The sequence below is a fragment of the Homo sapiens genome, chromosome 16, assembly GCF_000001405.40.
Source record: "Homo sapiens chromosome 16, GRCh38.p14 Primary Assembly".
Lineage (NCBI taxonomy): Eukaryota > Metazoa > Chordata > Mammalia > Primates > Hominidae > Homo > Homo sapiens.
In genome coordinates, this window is record NC_000016.10 from 51,387,166 (window position 1) to 51,408,147 (window position 20,982).

The 20,982-nt window shown below is 42.4% G+C and overlaps 1 long non-coding RNA gene across 1 annotated transcript in view, besides 1 other annotated feature; it reads right to left on the reverse strand.

Annotated features, from left to right (window-relative positions):
- Nucleotides 1–501: 501 nt before the first annotated feature.
- Nucleotides 502–20,982, reverse strand: part of LOC102723323 (uncharacterized) — a 137,467-nt gene continuing 116,986 nt past the window's right edge. Inside the window, exons 3-4 of the long non-coding RNA XR_933558.3 lie at nt 17,337–17,463; nt 502–1,587 (exon numbers count right to left, since the gene is read on the reverse strand). This is a non-coding gene — a long non-coding RNA (uncharacterized LOC102723323). The remainder of the gene's footprint in view (nt 1,588–17,336; nt 17,464–20,982) is intronic.
- Nucleotides 5,721–6,920: an enhancer, noted in NCBI's record as "CDK7 strongly-dependent group 2 enhancer chr16:51426797-51427996 (GRCh37/hg19 assembly coordinates)". NCBI's record gives its function as "activates an origin of replication core promoter dependent on BRD2, BRD4, P300/CBP, MED14 and CDK7 cofactors, with strong dependence on CDK7, by STARR-seq in HCT116 cells {active_cell/tissue: HCT116}" and the evidence as "EXISTENCE:reporter gene assay evidence [ECO:0000049][PMID:35650434]".

Below are 20,982 nucleotides of genomic sequence, written 5' to 3' on the forward strand. Positions count from 1 at the left end.
GAATAAAAAAGTAACTATAATAAGATTCTTGCTATCAAGGAGCTTAGTGTCCAGTACAAGGAGATTGACAGGTAATCATATAAGTGCCCTAAAATGCCATAGGGTCAGTGAAAGGTTTTTGCATATGGTGGCCTCAAGTGCAAGCAATAAAATGGTCCATTCTACTTGGTGCCCAGAGGTGCTTTAGAATAGGAACTTCTACCTAAGCTCCTTTCCCTCCTTCATGCAATCTAAAAAACTCTTATTGAGTGTATAACTTGTGCCTGGCCCTGCATACTGGAAGTAAAGCAGCCAGTTAGATAGGCAGACAGAACCCCTGCCTTCAGGGACCTTATATTTCAGAAGGAGAAACAGAAACCTAAGAGCAAACAGATACATGAAGAACAGGATTTCAGATGGTGACAAGTAAAATAAGGTGATGAATGAGGGAGAAAGATTTAGAGAAATGGGAAAGGCCTTTAGAGTACCTACATTTACAAAAGCAGAAAGAAACAGGTGGAGTTCATTTTAAGAATATGCTTTATTTCAGCTAATGCAGTTTACCCTTGAACAGTGCAGAGATTAGGGATGCCAATACCCCACACAATCAAGAATCTGCCTATAACTTTTGACTCTGCCCAAACTTAACTACTGTCCAAAAATGTTAGCATACTGTTGATCAGAAGCCTTACTGATAGCAGAGTTGGTTAACACATATTTTGTATGTTATAAATATTATATACCACTGTATCCTTACAACAAAATAAGCTAGAGGAAAGAAAACGTTATTAAGAAAATCACAAGGAAGAGAAAATATATTTACTATTCATTAAGTGGAAGTAGATCATCATGAAGGTCTTGATCTTCATCATCTTCACGTTGAGCAGGTTGAGGAGGAGGAGGAGGAGGAGGAAGTGGAGGGTTGGTCTTGCTGTCTCAGGGGTGGCAGAGGCAGAAGAAATTTCACTTATAAGCAGACCTGTGCAGTTCAAACCCATACTGTTCAAAGGTCAACTTTATATCCAAAATGTTATCACTTCCACATGCAACCAATATAAAAATATTAATGAGACATTTTTTCTTCTTTTTTCATACTCAGTCTTTGAAATCCTGTGTGTATCTTGCACCTAGGGCACATCTCAATGTGTCCTTGCCACTGTGCAAGGGCTCAAAAGCCAGGTGTAGCCACTGGCCACTGTACCCAACAATGCAGCTCCAGCTTCTCCATTAGACCAGGCAAAGTCTCCTCCTTTCTTTATTGCATGGGTGTCTTGTCTCTATTCTTAAACCCCATAAAAGGAATTTTTAAATTTAAATGTAATCTACTAATGCCAACATTACCGGCAATGTGCTCTCATTAATTCCTGTAAGGAATATCCCAGAATTGACCTGTTGGGCATGTTGGAAGGACTGAGTCACAGTGTTGGTAAGCCATCCCTCACCAGGCAGTCCTTGGGGCAGGGACAGGTCAGGATGGGTCCAGCCTTTCAGAATGGGCACCAGGGAGCCAGCTGTGGGGATGGGCTGGGCTTGCTTTCTCTGTGAAGATCCCTCCTGGGCTGAGACTGGAAAAAAGGAGCTCATTTTTGTCCTGTAGTGGTTCTCACCCTGGCAAAGAGGAAAATGAAAACGAACACTTTGAAATGCTAATTATTTAATCTCTGCCAATGTTGGCTGCTTCCAGCGGAGCCTCATGCTCATTTGTAAAATGAAACCATTTTAGGAAATAATCCAGGTCGGGAACGTGTGGCCCGAAGGAGGGCCGAGGCAGCCTTCCCTGAACCCCTCAGCCTTCCAGCAGGCTTGCATGTCCTCCCTGTGGGATTAGGCTGCTCTCCTGGCTCCTGCTAAGCATCTCTCATGAAGCCTCTTTAGTTTAGAGAACTTTGCCAGCAGAATGCCATGGGGGTTGAGAGCTCTGATTTTAAGGGCAGAAAGACCTGACGACTTCTGCACTTCCTTCCTGAGAACCAAGCTGCAGTTTTCATGTCTCTAGAATTTTCCTCCCTAGATCTGTTTTGACAATCAGGTGACATCATTTATGTGGTGTGTGTGGCACTGCCGGTGTCCAATCTAGTCAGCACTCAGTACATTTTAGCCATTCTTAGTTTTATTGTCATTGTTAAAGAGGGTCTCAGTCAGTTTGAGCTGCTGTAACAGAGTACTATGGTACTCTGGGTGGCTTTCAAACAACAGATATTTATTCTCACAGTTTTGGAGGCTGGAAGTTTGAGACCAGGGTGCAAGCATGGTCAGCTTCTGGTGAGGGCTTGCTTCCAGGTTGCAGACAGTCAACTTCTCCTAGTTTCCACACATAGAGAAAAGAGAGTTAGCAGCTCTCCAGTCTCCTCTTAGAAGGGCACTAATTCCATTCATGTGGGCTCCACCCTTATGACCTAATTACCTCTCATGATTTAATTATCCCTCTAATTACCTTTAAATGTGATCACGTTGAGATTAGGGTTTCAACATATGAATGAGGGAGGGGGACAAACATTTAGTTCATTGAAGAGGATTGGCAATTGTGTGGTTATTTCTGACACACAATCATTTGTTTTGTTTTTGTTTAGTTTAAATTACTCCTAATTATAGAGAGAAAGAACTCTCGGACAAAATCTCTTCCTTTGGCCCATATAAGCCTGTATTATTCTGCTAGGTCTGCCATAACAAAATACCACATTCTGGGTGAATTAAACCACAGAAATTTATTTTCCCATAGTTCTGTGGGCTGGAAGTCCAAGATCAAGCTGTCTGCAGGGTTGATTTCTCCTGAAGCCTCTCTTCTTGGGTTGCAGATGGCTGCCTAGAATAGCCTAGTCCCTGTGTGCTCATATTCCTGGTATTTTTCTCCTTTTTCTTATAAGGACGGCAGTCCTACTGGATCAGAGCACTACCCTGATGACCTCATTTGACCTTAATTATCTCCTTAAAGGCCCTTTCTCCAAATGCAGTTATATTGGGGATTAGGGCTTCAACACAATGAATTTTGGTGGTGGTTGTGGGGATACAATTCAGTCACATAACAAAGCCTAATCCCAAGTCTCACATAAAAATTCAAAGTATGGGACAATGCTAACAGAGAATTAAAGAATGACATTGCATTCCTCAGTTCTTTGGAATACACACCTGAGATTTCTCCCCAAATCTAATCATGTATATAACAGTGTTTTTCAAACTTCAGGCATTTAACTACCATCTTCATGTTTTACCATACTCACAGTCCCCCACACAATAATTTATTTAGTATCTTTCTTGAAATTGACTTTATATTTAACTTAAATATATTTATTTTAAAAATAAACTTGGATCACTACCCAGAAATGAAAACTTCCTTGCTGTTCATAAATAAAGTGATGATCAACTAAATCAGCGAATAAAAGAAATGACACTGAATTCTTCCTACTGTGTTATTTGACAAACACAAAGCACTCACTAAATGCAGACACTATCTAAGCACTTTATAAACATAATACAGTGTATTCCTCTTCCCTTAAAAATAATAAGGTCACTCTCCTTTGCTTATTTTATCGAAGAAGAAAGTAAGGCACAGGGATGTTAAATAAGTGCCCAACGTCACACAGCTAGGAATCCAGACAGTCTGATTCCACAGCTCTTAACCATTAAATTGTATTTACTGAAAGGCTAATTTCTACAGATTTCATGGTGAAAACACCTGGAGATTATTCCTCTACATTCTCAGGATGAAAATTTCAAAGTCACATCAAATAAACTAAAAATAATCTTTGATTCCAAGACCAAATCTGAAGAGTCTGGCTAAGAGCTAGATGCCCTGAGTTCAGGAAAACCTTTCAACCGAGGCTTTTCTGACTAGGAAGTCCTTGGGGGATCCTTCACCCCAGGTGTCTTTTCCTATCAGGCTACAAGAGACACAAGACTGGAAAAGAGAAGCAATTCGGAGGTGGGGGTGGGGAGGCTCATTCATGGCTCTGTCTCTGGGGGCCACGAAAGCATCAATTTACCACATAGCTGAAACAAAACATGATTGAAGGATCCCTGGCAGAAGTCTCCACCTTGCAAAGCCCATTGAACCAATTACCAGAATCATCTTGAGTGCCTCTCTGACCACACTAGGCTCCTGGCAGAACTTTCCTTTCAGATAACTAATTTAGCACCAGATAGCTAATATTGTTCACTTGTGTTGACTTGCACATTCTCACACACACACACATACACACACACACATAAAATTCATATATTAATTTATCTTTACCACAGTGCTTGAGATTTTATATGTATACATATATGTGTATATATAATATGTATATGTGTGTATATACATATATATGTGTGTGTGTATATGTATCAAGCACTCCGGTAAAAATAAATTTACGGTGCCAAAATGAGATTATTTCTGTAATGTATGTCATTTTGGCGTTGTGAATTTATTTTTACCGGAGTGCTTGACAGGTTATATACATATACACATATATTATTATATGAGTAATATAAATACAATATAATATATCAAATACTTTTAGCCCTAACTCTATCCTAGGAGAAACAAGAAGATAGAATTTGATCTCCTTTCTTCTTTTAGCTCAGCTAAGTGCCCAAGCCAGGCTGTGGCAAAGGAAGTCGTCATTTTAAGGTGAAGACAGGTGAGCTCACCCCAGGCCATAGCCCAGCCAGCCCCACATTTGTCCCAGAATCCAGGGTGAGAAAAGCCAGCGATTGGCCATTCCTAGCGGCTCCCACCTGTTCCCAGTCCTGCCATCCGGCAGGTCAAACTAGCAAGATATGGCGGGCGTTTGACCCCTGAGCCCAGATAACTCTTTCAAACCCCGTGTTCCACGTTGCCACTCTGTCCCGGAAGGCTGCCTTGGAGGTCTGCCCTGGCATTCAGACGGCCATTTGTCCCCTAGCAGGCCTAGCCAGTCGCCTGTTGCTGTCAGCGGGGGACTCGGGCCTGGCAGTTTCATGTCTTAAAAGTAGTTTTGTGCAAATGAGCTCCTCCCAGCCCCCCTGGAGCCCCCACGGCCCACAGGATTTCCAGGCACCGGAGAAAAGAAGCTGGTTTGATTTAAGCACACAGAGAGTTTGGGAGCTGGGGGTGGGGGGGCGGTGTTTATATTTTCTGCCTCCATTAGGATGGGTGGCTGAGGGGTAGGGAAGGTGGGGGCCGAGCAGAGAGAAACTTCATTTATATGTTAATAGTTGCCAGCACCCGGGCTAAACTGACAGAACTATTTCATGGGAAACTGACAAATTTTGTCAGCCAGGCTGTGCGTCCACATCTCAATGGAGCAATAATCTTGATTAGCAAAACAATTGGGGGCCTCCGGGTTCTCTCTCAGGTTACACTTGGCCAATGTGAGGAAGGCTGGGCCTTCAAGCTTGAACACATTTTCAAAAGCCGCCGAGTTTAGGCAAATGAAGGGAACCGTTGGGGTGGGGGCGGGGGGAGGGAGGCAAAGGACAAAAGGGGTTAATTTGATTGACCGAATCTTCATAGTCTTATAACAGTCATTTACTTAGCAAGTAATTCTGCAAGAAACCAGTGGCGCCGACAGGAAATTGGAGTGCAGGATCTGTTTGCCCCAGATGTGTGGGAATTTTAGCTGCCTCCTCCCTCCACTTGCCAACCCTGGAAAAAAGATTCGCATCCCCCTTGGGGCCCTAATTACCACATGCAGAATAAGTCACTATCTAAAAATACACACATACACACACACACACGCACACGCACGCTCCACACCCACAGAGTCACTGCAGTTCACTGCCGTTACCTCATCTTGACTCAGGATTGGTCTTCATTTTTATTATTAGTTCATTGTATTGCTAATTAAATCTGGAACATGGTGACTTATTCCCCCTTCTAGGATAGGAACTCGGACCGCTTCAAAAGCTCCGGTTGCTTTATTTTCAGTCTGGCCAACTGGCCCTGTTTCTGTTTGTAAACATACACTCAGGAAGGGCTGCGGTTCCCCCATCTGCCTGGATACCAGGAGAATCCTTGAGAAGAGGCTGTCCCCACTTGGGCGGTGAGTGAGAGGAACACACACAGATTCCACACCTCCCCAGTGGGAAGCTCTTGCCCACTGTTAGACCAATCCTGCTATCATCCATTGCTGAGGCCTCCTGGAAAAGCAATGGTTCAATGCGATGTGATGAATTAATTTATTTTAAGCTTTTTACCTTGAAATAGTTGTAGGCTTACCAACATGGTACAATGAGGTCCTGTGTACCCATTACTCAGCTTCCCCTAAAGATGACATCTCAGGTAATTAGTGTGCATTACCAAAACCAGAAAATGTGTCGGCATAGTACAATTAACTAGACTACAGGCCTTACACAAATGTCCCTTTTTCTTTTGCATGCACTCATTTGTTTTTCTTTTGCTTATCTTTGTGTATCATTCTATGACTCATTTATTTTTTAATGTAGTCACTAAACCAGTCCTGGGATTTCAGAGATGGAAATGTCATGGTAATCACTTCATCCTACCCTTCTCTTCAATCCTCCCCCACCCTTCCAACAGTCACCTCCCTACCCCGCTCTAATCTTGAGTTCCCACAGGAAAACAAAAAAACAAAAAAACAGAAAAACCCCTTAAGAAATCATCAAGCTACTACTCACACACTTCAGACAGGAGACACATTACCTCTTGTGTGAAGCTGACTTTTCTTGTTTGACAGTTCACATGAAGACCCAAATTTTCCCTGTCTCTAGTGGCTCCTCAATGACTCAAACACTACCATGCAACTCTGAATTAAGTCAGTTGAATACAGTAGTCATCAACCTTGGTTGAACCTTCAAATTACCTGCAGAGTTTCTGAACACCCCAGTGACAGAGTGAAACCCAGACCACTTCTATCACAATTTCTGCAGGTGGGACCCAGGCCCCAGTATTGTTTCTAAAGCTTCCCAGTTGATCACTGTACCCAGTTGAGGACTGCTTCATGCCAATCCTTCAAGGAGTTGAAGGTATCCAACATCCCACATAAGTAGGGTTGCCCGATAAAATATAGGGCACCCAGTTAAATTTGAATTTCAGATTTAAAAAAAATCTGGCTGGGCATAGTGGCTCACACCTATAATCCTAGCACTTTGGGAGGCAGAGGTGGGTGGATCACCTGAGGTCAGGAGTTGAAGACCAGAATTACCAACATGATCAAACCCCATCTCTGCTAAAAATACAAAAATTAGCTGGGTGTGCAGTGTGTGCCCATATTCCCAGCTACTAGGGAGGCTGAGGAAGGATAATCACTTGAACCCAGGAGGCGGAGGTTGCAGTGAACCAAGATTGCACCACTGCACTCTAGTCTGGGTGACAGAGCAACTCTGTCTCAAAAAAAAAAAAAAAAATTCCAACATTTTAGTGTAAGTATATTCCAAATGTTGCACAAGACATATTTATACTAAAAGTATTCATTGTTTATCTGAAATTCAAATTTAACTGAGTGTCCCATATTTTTATTTGCTAAATTTGGCAACCCAACACACTAACCTTCTCCTCTCCAGGCTAAACATCCTTATTTTGGCATCTAACATGTTTCCAAAACACTTCACCAGTCTGTCACCCTCTAGAGTAATGAACTGGGGTTTTGCACTTGCTTTTTGAGAGTGGCTCCAGTGATTGGTTCCTTAGTTTTGGCCTCCTATATTAGCTCTTTGTACCTTGAGACTGGTGTGGGACTTTTCTGCACAATAGACTTCTGTGGGCTCTTTCTTTCCTTGGTCCTGGGTCTTTCTAGGCACCAAATGTGGGAGAGTGAGGAGTTACCCAGGCAGCTCCTTATTCCTTGGATAACCTGATCCACATCAGGGTACATGTTATAGCTTCTCAAAGTGTGATTCTTGGATAAGAAGTATCAGGATCACCTGGGAGCTTGTTAGTGTAGGGGAGGACAAATTTGCCCCCTACACTCTTCGGTTCAATTACTGGGGGCCTGTGAATTAAACAACAACAGACAGATAATATACAAGAGAAAATACACACATTTTGCTTAATTTAATTTAATTTTAATTGCTATTTATGTATTTATTTATTTATTTATTTATTTTGAGACAGGGTCTCACTCTGTCACCCAGGCTGGAGTGCAGTGGCACAATCATGGTGATAGGGAGAGGAGGCAGAGAAATTCTGGGCAGACAGGGGCAGGTCCCCGCTGAAGCCCCACCTTTGAGCCAAAGGCCTGAGACTGAGGCCCACAGTGAGAACTTATATCCCTGTTTTCCCGCTTAAATGTTGCCTTTTCCTAAGCCACACATGGCCCTACTCTGCCCCATCCTGTGCCTATAAAGACCCCAGCCTGAGCAGGCAGAGAGGAGAAGCAGCTGGATGTCAGAGACTATGGCTGGCCATTGGAGAGAAGCGGCTTGACTTCAGAGGGACAGCCTGATGGTGTAACTTTGCAGAAGAATCCAACTGGAGATGGCTGGACTTCAGGGGAAGACTACCTACCACCCCTCATCCTCTTTTCAGCTCTCCTTCCCACTAAGAGCCACTTTCCTCAGCAATAAAATCCCTCACATTTACCATCCTTCAATTCGCTCATGAGACCTCATTTTTCCTGGACGCTGGACTAGAGCTCAGGGGCCACAAGTGTGGATACAAAAGGCTGCCATACTGGCCCTTTGCCCTCACTGGCGGAGAGCAGCCGTGGGCCCACCAAGCTGTTAACACTTAAGCTGTCCGTGGATGGCAAAGCTAAAAAGAGCACTGTAACATACTCTCTGGGGCTTCAGGGGTCACAGGAACCCCACATGGATGCTGCCATGGGACATGCACAGTATTCACTCCTGCTGGCATCCAAAAGTGCTCACTCCATCTCCTGCACCTGCTCACCTGCACGCTTCCTCCCATGAAGGGTGGAATACAGCAGGTCTGAGTGGAGTTTGATCTGGCTGGTGCCAGTTCCCACCTAGTTTGCTCAAGTGCTCCTTCCCGCAAGGAGTTGACAGCAGTGGGCTGAGTGAATGAGGCACCCCATCACAAGTCTTGTGAAGGTGTCAGGGAAATATCCTGCTTCAATGGCTAACTGCAGCCTCAACCTCTTGGGCTCAGGTGATCTTCCCACCTTAGCCTCTGGAGTAGCTGGGACTGCAGTACAGGCAGACACCACCATGCCTGATTTTTGTATTTTTTGCAGAGATAGAGCTTCACAATATTGCTGAGGCTGTTCTCCAATTCCTGGCCTCAAGCAGTCCACCTGCCTTAGCCTCTCAAAGTGCTATGATTATAGGCATAAGCCACCAGGCCTGGCCTAGAAAATATACAAATGTTATTGACATGTGCAGAACATACACCTGGGAGAACTCAGTGATGAGAAACTCAAAGGAGTGGTTAGAATTTGGAGGTCTGTATACCTAAATTAGCAGGTCAAGGGAGAAGGGAGAAGGGGCATTTATGGAAAAGCAAGTGACTTTTTGGAAAGATAAATAGACCCTAAGGAGAATAAATGGGAGATATGACAGTCTTGTGGCAATGTCTGTTTGGGTGTGGTGCCAGCTTTTCCTCTCCAAGAAAAGAATATTAGAATTACTCCTAAGGGAGGGACTTATGACAATTAAGTTTTTTGGGAAAGGCTTTGCTTTTATACAGATAAGGAATTTCGGATCTAAAATGCCTTCAGCCCTAAAAGATTCTTATGCCAAAATAGCATATTTTGGGGTTGCATAGCTTGATCTTCTTCATTAAAAATGCAGAATAGCAGGCCCCACCCCAGACCCACTGAATCAGAATCTGCAGTTTATCTAGATCCTCAGGTGATCCTCATTCACATTAACCTTTGACAAGCACAGTCCTAACTACAGCTTTTGTAAATGCAGCTTGTAACACATAGTGACTCTTGTTATTTAAGAAAGTCTTGATTTGTCTTAAATATATGGGTTTTATGGGGTATATAGAACCTGTGGGTATGTGTAGGCTTCCTGCAAGAGGTGAGCATTCTTCACTGCACTCATCTGGGGAGAGGAAGCAGAAAACAGATGTCTTAGCCTGTCTCTGTTGCTATAACAAAATACCTTAGGCTGGGTAATGTATAAACAATAGAAACCTATTGCCTACAGTTCTGGAGGCTAGGAGGTTCAAGATCAAGGTGCCAGCAGATTCAATGTCTGGTAAAGGCTCTCTCTCTGCTTCCATGATGGCACCTGGTTGCTGCACCCTTTGGAGGGGACAAACATTGTGTCTTTACAAGGTAGAAGGGACAGAACGGCCAGGAGGCTCTTTGAAGCTTCCTTTATGAGAATATTAATCCCAACATGAGAGTGAAACCTTCATGACTTTATCATTTCCCAAAAGGCCCCATTCCTTAATACTTTTGTAGGACTTTCTCCTTAGTTTAGCTAAAAATGGGGTCCTAGTCCCATGACCATGAAAAATTAGGCTCATAGACACTTTGAGGTTTGAGAAGGGCAGGGTGCATTGGGTGAAAAGGAAAAAAAATGGGAAATGAGGACTCTCAGCAAAACCAGAGTCCTGCTAGTGGGCTTCCTGCCTCTCAGATTGAATCCCAGCTTCCACCCACAAACAGGAGAGGCCAGGCTCCTGCCCCCTACAAATGGTATGAACTTCCATGGCTCCACCCCAGTGCACACTACTCCCAGTGCACAGGCCAGTCAGAGGTTCTCCTGGGACCACTTTATACTTGGCTGTCTCAGTACCATCACCTTGGGGCTTATGTTCCAACAGATGAATTTTGGAGGGACACACATATTCAAACCACAGCAATAGGAATGCGAGAGATGGATCTTGGGTCAGCAGGAGCAGGAACTCCAGTCTATCTTTGGCCTTGATCTTGCATCCTTATGTGGTAGAAGGGAGCTCTGACAAGGTAGTCAATGGTATTTCCAGGGGATAAGGAACCAGGAGGAGCTGCTTACAATGAGAATTTGCCAATCTGAACAAGCCAGGTAGCCTTATTCCCTGGCTCTCTCTGTGTTTATTTTTCCCACCTCATCTTAGAGCTATGAGGAATTACAGGAAGGGTTTGTCTACAACTAGGAGACAGAAACAGTGGGCAGTAGCATCCCCTCTCACCTCAACCCAGGCCAGTGTGGAGTTTACAGAAACACTCAGGAATAACCACCAGAAAAAAGTAATGCTCAGGTATAAGAGTCCCAGCTGCAAAGCTTCGCCCTCCATCCTCATGTAGAGAGTCTCCCGTCACTTGCTAACATTGAAAAAACAGTTTTATTTTATGATGGAAGGTGGCAATTTTCTTAAGGTTCTTGAAAACTTTTACAGTTAACTCCTGGGAAATATAGACTTGGAGTCATCTTTTCTATTTCCTCAGAAGCTGAATTCGGTTCTAAGAAATAGGAAGGTCCCCAAAGTATACTTGCATGTAATTTGCATTTATATTCTCTACATCCTCTGGCTTTAAGGTGGAGGAAATAGCACATCACTCTTTCCAAAATTTATGCTTCATCTTTTTTAATTAATAAAGGCCAGCAGTCTTTATTGTTCAGCATTTGAGGCCAACACTCCAAATTGCAAATCGTCACATATCAGGTGGATGTATTAATTCAACCTAAGTTTTCCTTTCTTGTTTTCCCTTGTTTTCTACTTTATCAGATTCTAACATGCTAAAGTTTGAAGAGATCTTAGAAACCATTGAATTCAGGGGATGACAAAAAGATCTTCTTTTGATTCAACTGTGGTAGAATGAAGATTGTGTTAAGAGGAATTTCAGACTATGTCTCAGCTTAGCAGAATATTAAAAAATGCTGTGATTGATTAGTGATGTCTGCATGGGCAAGCAGTGTGGAAGTGGCAACTCCATGCCAGGCATTGACCAGTGCAAAGCGGGGCCCATCCCTCATTTTACAGATGAGGAACCTGAGTACTAGGGAATAGAAGTGATTTAAGCTCATATAGAAAGCCATTAGCACAGCCAAGATGTTGATCTCTTTACTTCAATCTATTTCCATTATGCAACTGTAGGCCTCTAGTATCCTGTTTGGTCATCTGCACTACAGGTTAATTGCTAAAACTCTTATTTTCTTGGTATCTTATAGATACAAAAATAAGCAGAGAGTAACCTCCAACTGTCAATCCACTGAGCACACATAGTAAAAACTCAAAACTTTTTGAATGGATTAGGAAAATGATCTTTGTACACATACTAATATCACAAAATAAGTGGGTCATGGGTTAAATTTTCAGAAACATGTTTATAATGGTGCTAATGATTTTAAAGGTACACATTTAAGAATGAATTATTTATCATTATTTTGCTTCATATACAGAAGAACACTCTGAATCCCAAACATCTGACTTAAAATTGCATGCCACTAATCACAAAGAAGAGTACCAGATGAGGAAATATAAATAAACAGTACAAATATTTCTCCACTTTTATGAAAACAGCTGAAAGAGCAGGCTGTAAGAGAGGCAGGTGAACAATGACTTGTTTGTTTGGTTTTTTTAATTTAAAGAAACAAGCTGCTGTTTTCATGTAACACAGAGCTGTGGATTTTGTAGGAAAGCATGATCAATATATAGTAATGTTGAGATTAATTAGTTAATTATTTTTATTATTTATTATGATGTATTCTACTCATTTTTCCCCTGGAAAGAGAACTTTTTTTTAACAAAGCTGGTTCTCCAAAGGCTGAAGGAACTTAACAGCCACTTTTGCACTGGGTTGGAAGCTATGGCAAGAATCAAACTTATCCTTCCAATATCCTTTTATAATAAGAAAAGTTTGATCTTGGCACATTGTTCCCCAGCCAAAAACTGCATTTCCCAATTCCCTTTGCTGCTAGTTGTGGCTATGCAGCCAGGTTCTGGTTGATGGGAAATGAGAACTGATGTGTGCAACTTATTCCTCACAACTTTAAAAGGGAAAGAGTGTGCTCTCTTTCCTCAAATTCCTTTCCCCCTTTCTCTCAGTGAAATGTAGATGTTGCAGGAAGAATTAGGATGGCAGCTATCTCAACCATCAAGAAGGAAGCTGCATGTCAGGTTGAGAGACAGTAGAATGAGTTTGTGTCCCTGACGTCATTGAGGTACCATAAGCCACTGGACCATTTGGAGGAAGAAACTATGATCTTGCATAAGCCACTGCATTTGGGAAGTTATTATTGGCAGAAGCTGAGCATGGATTGGTTACTACATCTGAGGAGCATTTATTGCACCATCTTGAATGCAGGTATTTTTTAAGGTCTCTTAATGTTAGAGTAAGCAGAGAGCCAGAAATGAGCAGGGAAGGGAGCCCCTGGGAACAGAAGTCCTGGAGATGATGCCCACCTACTGACAGCAAAAGACAGTGGCTACATTGGCTACTTCTGGCCTTGTGGTTGGGCTCCTCTGGCTCTAGAGGGGACTTATCAGGCCCTAGCCACAGACAACCATGCTAGGAATTTTCTCCGCTGATAAGCATGCATACTCCTCCAAAAACTCGCCCTAGAGCAGCCTTTTGCTCATTATAATAGTAAAAACTACACCCCTGGGTGGAGATTTTACATGCCAATGAGACATGTGTACTAGCAATGTATAATCACAGAGCACGCGCACCCAAAGGGACCTCCCAAAATATGGTTGCAAGTGACACCTCCTCCTGCCCCTTCATGAATAATCATGTAAGATTCTCCTAAAGAGAGGCCCCCAGCACTGATTGCTATTGGCTCATTCTTTCCAGTGGCCTGTGGTTCATTCTTTTGAGCAGCCTGCTCCACCTTGTCTTTCAGGGTGTACTGTCTTTTTAAATAAAACACTGCTACTATTATACTATTTTTCCAGCCAGAACAGTCCAAAGTTTTTTCCACTCCTCTCCAGGAATGTACTTTGTCTTCCTTCAATAAACTCTGCTACTTAACCATTGCTATGTGTCTCTTGGTTGAATTCTTTCTTCCAAATTAGACAAACACCAAGGATTCCCGCACTTCTTGGTAACATGTAGATACTCCTAACCCACGTTCATGTTTCCAATAATTTGGAAGCATCGGATCATGATCCACTATCTTCTAGGTACCTACACCATATGAGTTATATGTTGAAAATCTTCATTCATTGAAAATTTCTCAATAGGAGAAATTGAGAGGCAGCCCTTCACCGTCACTAATCAGTTCCTTTTATCCCCAGGTTGAAGGTTGTTAGTGATTTTCCATTGTGCTTAGACTGAAGTCCAATTCCTTACATGGCCTTGAAAGTTGTGATTTTGTCCCTCTCTACCTTCCCACCATCACCTCCTATCACTCCCCTCTTACCCATCCTCTCTGCTCCAATGCTGTGGCCTTTTTCATTTCATAAATGAGACTTGGCAGTTCCTTCAATGTGGCCTTCTATTCCCTAAGATCTCCCCATGGCTGGTTCTTTCTTCCCTTCAATGGCTGACTTAAAAGGTCAACTCTTCAGAGAGTGAACCTACGTGAAGTCCCATCTAAAATCCATCTGAAGTGCCCCTTCATTTCTCTTTCCTTCATTTTTTTTCCCCATTTTTACCGTAGAGTTAACACCAAGAAAAATTGTCTGATTGATTCATTTTCTTGGTGTCTTGTATTAGTCAGGGTTTTCCAGAGGGACAGAACAAATAGGATCTATGTATATATAAAAGGGGATTTATTATGGAGAATTTGCTCACATGATTACAAGACAAAGTCACATAATCGGCTGTCTAAAAGCTGGGGAAAGAGAAAAGCTGGTAGTGGCTTGGTACAAGACCAAGAGAATCAAAACCAATGAAGCCAGCAATGCAGCCTTCAGTCTGAGGCTAAAGGCCTGAGAGTCCCCAGCAAACCACTGGTGCAAGTACCAGAGTCCAAAGGCCAAAGAATCTGGAGTCTAATGACCAAGGGCAGGAGGAGCAGAAGCAAGCATCCAGCACAGGAAGAAGAGGAAGCCAGAAGACCCAGCAAGCAAGGACATGAAGAGGAAGCCAGAAGACCCAGCAAGCAAGGACATCCCACCTTTCTCCGCCTGCTTTGGTCTAGCTACACTGGCAGCTGATTGGATGGTGCCCACCCACATTGAGGGTGGGTCTACCTCTTCACTGACTCAAGTGCCAAACTCCTCTAGCAACAGCCTCCCAGACACACCCAGAAACAATACTTTGCCAGCCATATAGGCATTGTGCAATCCAATCCCATTGATCTATCACACATCTCTTTCTCCTATGGGAATGTCAGCTCTATAATAGTATGGCTTACTATCCCAGTGTCTATGAAAGTGCCAGCACATAGTAGGTGCTCAATAAATATTCATTGAATAATTACAGACTGAACCCTTATGAGGTATGTACCATTGTCCACAGTGGACAGTTGAAGATAGGAAGGGAGGTTCACAGAGCTCTCTCAGAGCCTGGCGTGAGAGCACTGACTCAATGTACTGCCCTGTTCTGTAGACACTAGGCTCTTTCCTTCTAGGAACTAATCTAGATTCCTTGAAATTATCTGTCAGTAGCTTGCCTATATTACAGTCTCCATGAATGTCAATTAATTTACAAGGTGAATCCACTAATGGGGCAGTCAGAGATCATAATACATTTACATATTCAAATATAAAGGCAGACAGCTGTGGCCAACTCTTTTTTCTGGCTGTTTTGCATCTGAGTGTGGAAAAAAAATATGTTTTTGAACTTGGCTTTTGAGTTAGACTTGGCTGCCGATGATAAATGGCAAAGCAATTCTGATCTTATCTGGACAGTTTTTCCATGAAATATAAAGGGAGAAAGAAGCCAGAATAAAGATCTGAAATAAATATATTGACAGAATTCAAAGAAAAGATAATAGATTTACTCATGTTCCTGGCATGATTGGTTAGTGGGAAAGGAGGCTGGCCTCGCCAGAACTGTGTTTGGTTATAGATTAATAATCCAAGGTACAAATGGTTCCGGACAATTTAGAGAAAACATAAACTACAATATTCAACAAACTGGAGTTCAAAGGTTTCTGGAATTTGCTAACTGTTCTAGGTCATACATTTTTCAAAAGTGATGACACAATATGGAGTTTTTGAACTTTGCAACACAAATAGCAAGTAGGTTTTTGCCTGAATCTCATTAAAGAATTGTGCAACCATTATTTAAAAAAAAAAAAAAAAAGAAAGAAAGAACGAAAGAAAAGGAAGGCAGGGAGGAGGAAGAAGAAAAGTGGAAAGGTTAGGAAATGCCAACTGTCAAGTTACTGAAAATCGAAGAATAATCTCATAATTCTACTGTAGGAAGTGTGCTTTTAGTTCATATTCTGTGTTGCATGGTGGTTGCAAGCATGGTTTCCGGGTCACTCTGCAGATCCCCATCTGCCTCTGATCCTTATTGGCTCTATAATCTGGGACAAGTGATGAAGCTCAGTTGATAGAAATATTGTTTATGTCCTATGAGCTATGCCAGGCACATTTAACTTTTTCCTGAATCCACTCTTACTGCTCCAGTCTGTTCTCTATGTTACAGTAAGAGAGTTACCTTTATAATACAGATAAAGTCATGCCTCGATGTCTTTGCATAAAGATGAAGACCACAGTTCTTACTCTTCCTCTGTCACAGTCTACTCAGGTACCTCCTTGTTCTCTGTGCTCCAGCCACACTGGGCCTCTCCAATTTCCTTCAGTATGCCATACTTCCTGCCTCAGGGTCTTGGCAACTGATCTTCCCTCTACCTAGAATTCTCTTTCTCATCCTTTTGATTCCAACTGAATTACAAAGTCTTCAGAGAATGGTCCTTCTCCATCTTTCTGACCTGCTCCTTTCTTGCATGTACACAGGTGAACTTTGACAGTGATTTGTCAAACCAGTGGGTATTGTCCACTCTCCAACTAGACTGGGGGACAGAAGTGGCTTCTGACTTGGTCACTACCTCCCTACCACTTAGCACAAAGCCTTGCACATTGACAAGCACTCAACAACCACTGCAAGATTGAAGAGAATGAATGCGTCATGGCCTCAGCTGGTCCAGGTCTTCATCTGTGAATGCTGGGAAGACATTACCTTTCGCATAGGTTCACAGAGAAGATTGAATGAGAGAAAAGTTTGCAAGGGCTTTGTAAACCATGAAGGGCAATACCTGAGTAAGGGATGACTACAATTTTTAGATATCTGCTGGTGACCATTTCAATTGCCAGTGATCCGAAATGTAACTCAAATTCATGGGTTTAGTCTGAAAAAGGGAATTCTTTGGCATACACAACTGATTAGACTGGACAAGAAAGGTAGGATTCAGGTGCTGAAGTGGCATCATCTGATTTCTCTCTCTCTCTCTTTCTCTCTCTCTCCTTTGTGCATTTCCCTCTCTGCTTTCCTACATTCAATCATTGGCCGGGCTTTCCCATTGTGATGATGACCAATAGATTCAGGTTACATTACGTTATACCAGCCCAGCACTCCCAGGGCAGAGAGAGAGCCCTTTTCTCTAAAGTTTCAGCAAAGATCTATGAAAAATTGTCTTTGGCTCACCTTAAGCACATGACCTCTCTGAGTTGGTCACTCTGGAGAGGGGGATGCACTGAGAGAAGGGCCAGGTCTAGGTTACACAACACCTTCAGATCTTGTGGATGGCATTAGTCACCAGGAACTCCATGGACTGAGAAAAGGAAAGTGCAAAAGAAAAGTGAATGTTTCTGCAAAAGAAAAGTGAGTTCTATTAACAAAAGCAGAAACAAATGCAGACTGGAGAAATCAACAAGCATCCTCTAGGGAGACTCACCAGTTCAAATGAAGGAATTTTTTTTTTTTGAGACTGAGTCTTACTCTGTCACCCAGGCTGGAGTCCAGTGGTGCAATCTCGGCTCACTGCAACCTCCACCTCCCAGGTTCAAGCGATTCTCCTGCCTCAGCCTCCAGTAGCTGAAATTAGTCACCATGCCTGGCTAATTTTTGTATTTTTAGTAGAGACGGGGTTTCACCATGTTGGCCAGGCTGGTCTTGAACTCCTGACCTCAAATGATCCACCCGTCTCGGCCTCCCAAAGTGCTGGGATTACAGGCATGAACCACAGTGCTGGCCAAATGAAGGAATTTTTGGCTCCCATCTCCTCACTCTAATCTTATTGTGTCAGTTGAGTTCTGTCTTTTCTCCCGCTTGATGGAAAGGCAATACAAATCATATTCCACAGCCATCTTCACATAAAAGCTTGGGGAGGTCTTGCTCTGAGTTGGGAAGAAGGAGGTAGGGGAGGTGTACAGGAGAAAGCAAGTGAAGTGATTCGGTCCTCTGTTCATTAAAGCGGGTAAGATCAGAGTAGTCACATTCATCTCATACATCTGAATCCCCATAAAAGATAAGGTAAACCCTGTAAGAAGAAAAATGCCCCAGGCCCTCAAGTTTGGGGTTCCTAGGAAACAAGCATATTAGGGAACTCACTGGTGTTAATGAAAGAAAGAAATACCACCAAGCATTTTTAGACAGTTGACTTTGTCATTCATTACCTGTGTGATACTGAATAAGTGTGGCACATGCTGATGGATAGCTGAGCCAATCCCTGTTCAACCTCCTTTTTCCAAGGGAGGAAGCTGTGGCCAATGAAATGTAGGAAAAAGTCACTGGGTGGGGCTTCTGGAGCTACAGCAACCATTTTGTAATAATGAAAGTGAACAGCATACACAAAGTCTTAATGTAAAATCAAGAGGGTTTTTTGTTCGTCTGTTTGTTTGTTTTGGGGTTTTAGTGTTTCCATGCTGGCTTAACTAGCTAGATAACGGCTATCAGTGTTACATATAATAACATTGATTTGCACACCACTTTCTGGTCGCTTTTCCATTTTCTCAAACTGGTGGGAGCTGTTTTTTGAGTGTGGAGTGATCATTTAAAACAAGCTTGTCCAACTCGGGACCTGTGAGCCACATGTGGCCCAGGATGGCTTTGAATGCAACTCAACACAAATTTGTAAATTTTCTTAAAACACTATGAGATTTTCTTGAAATTTGTTTCCTTTTTTGTTTAGTTCATCAGCTATCAGTACTGTTAGGGTATTTTATGTGTGGCCCAGGACAATTCTTCCTCTTCCAATATGGCCCAGGGGAGCCAAAATATTGGACACCCCTGATTTAAAATAAAGATCTTTGCTCCATTCAAATTCTAATTTTGTAATACATTTTAAAAAACTTATTATTACTGTTTGGGTCCTGAATCTTTTAAAAAATGTTTCATGGTAATTTGAGGAAACTTTCCTATGAAACTTTGCTACATTTCTTGAACATTCACTTTGTTTTGGAAGTTGCCAAATTGTATTACTGTCTATAAAGAAAAAAATGTCTAAGCTGGGTGCAGTGGCTCGCACCTGTAATCTTAACACTTTGGGAGGCTGAGGTGGGTGGATCATTTGAGCTCAGGAGTTTGAGACCAGCCTGGACAGCACAGTGAGACCCCAGCTTTCCAAAAAAAAAAATACAAAAATTAGCCAGGCATGGTGGTGTGTTCCTGTAGTCCAACTATTTGGGAGGCTGAGGTGGGATGATTGCTTCAGCCAAGAAGGTCAAGTCTGTAGTGAGCCATGAATGCACCACTGCACTCCAGCCTGAGTGACAGAGAGACCCTGTCTCAAAAAAAAAAAAAAAAAATCTCTGAAAAGATTATGCTTGGTGTTTTCCTTAGCAGTCACACAATTCCAGTTATCATGTTTTCATGGTGAAGTTAGAAAATAAAAGAGAGTTATATTTCTAGCTGTAGAAACTATATTTGTTTGTTGTCATTTAAGTGGCCTGTCTGGTACTCTACCATGACCGTACTTCATGAGAGTAACCAACAAAACCTGAATGTACTTAGTGTGTGGTAGGTGCTCATAGGCCTGAGAGACAGATGGCGGTTATGATGAAAGACAAGAAAGACATTGATCTTCTGCTTTTAATTTGTGAAACAGCAAGACATCCACCAAGACGACATTTTGAGGTGGAGGTGTTTCCTATGTTGTGTCAGCTATTCTTGTATTTTAACAGAATCATAGAATATTGATGGGAAGGGCATAATTACTAGGAAAAAAATCATAGAACATTGATGTTAAGGAACAATGTTAAGGTCTACCTAGTCCAAAGCCTTCCTTTTACAGAAACAGCCCCGGATGCCCAGTGAGGGAAAATGACCTGCCCAAGGTCACATGGCCAGTTAATGATAGAGCCAGGAGTAATGCTTGGGTCTCTGAGATTTGCTGTTATTTAATCCCATCTTAACGGCTATGATCAAAGGACATAGTTTCTCTCACACATAAAGAAATAACTTGACTTTTTTAAAAAGCTGGCTAGGTGACTAATGAACTATGTCTACCGTGAAGTGGGTATCCTTAGTCAACTGCCAAGGCCTGTTTGTGCATGTGCTTTTATTTCTGCGTGACAAGCCCTCATTTGGATGCACAGTGAACACACATACCCCTGTGGAAAGATCATTAACTGAGTTGTGGTGGGGCCCACCGGTGGTCAAACCACATGTTTGTGTGTGCACAGGTGGAAATGATGGTCATTCTGAAAGTGTTCACCTCCTACCACCTTGGGGCTGTGTCTCAAACATAGAAGTTCCCTCTCCTGGGTAGTAACCCTCTTGTCTTAATTAAAAAACAAAATCTATACTTGCAGATTGATATCTGCCTATCTATCATCTATCTTCCTCTGATATATGTGTTTGTGGGTGTGCTTGGTGTGTATGTTTGTGCATGTGCATGCACTTACATATATAAAATGACAAAGAGATACATATTTTCTTATCAGATGGCTTTGTCAGGGATCTTGTGAAAAAAAAATAGGCATACACATACAGTTTTTAACCCAGTTATGACCTTCTGCATCAAAATTGGGTTTTGTAGGGTTTGGTAAATTACATTGCAATCTACTACTCATTCTGACATTAAGTATAAATGAAATTAAACTGTAATGAACAGAAAACACAGCTTTAAAGAAAAAAGAAGACATTAAAAGAGAGGCTGCTGGACTATATGCCCTTTCTGAATACTGGGGCCTCAGATTTTGTTTCTTTTTAATTTATGTTTGTGCCATTTGAACCCCCCTCCACAAGCCCCTCCTGGAGCAGCCTGGACAGCCCTTATGAGGTGAGACATCAAGCCCTTCTGATTCACAGCACTGTAGGGCAGTACTACTGCCACAGATAAGTTGAGCCT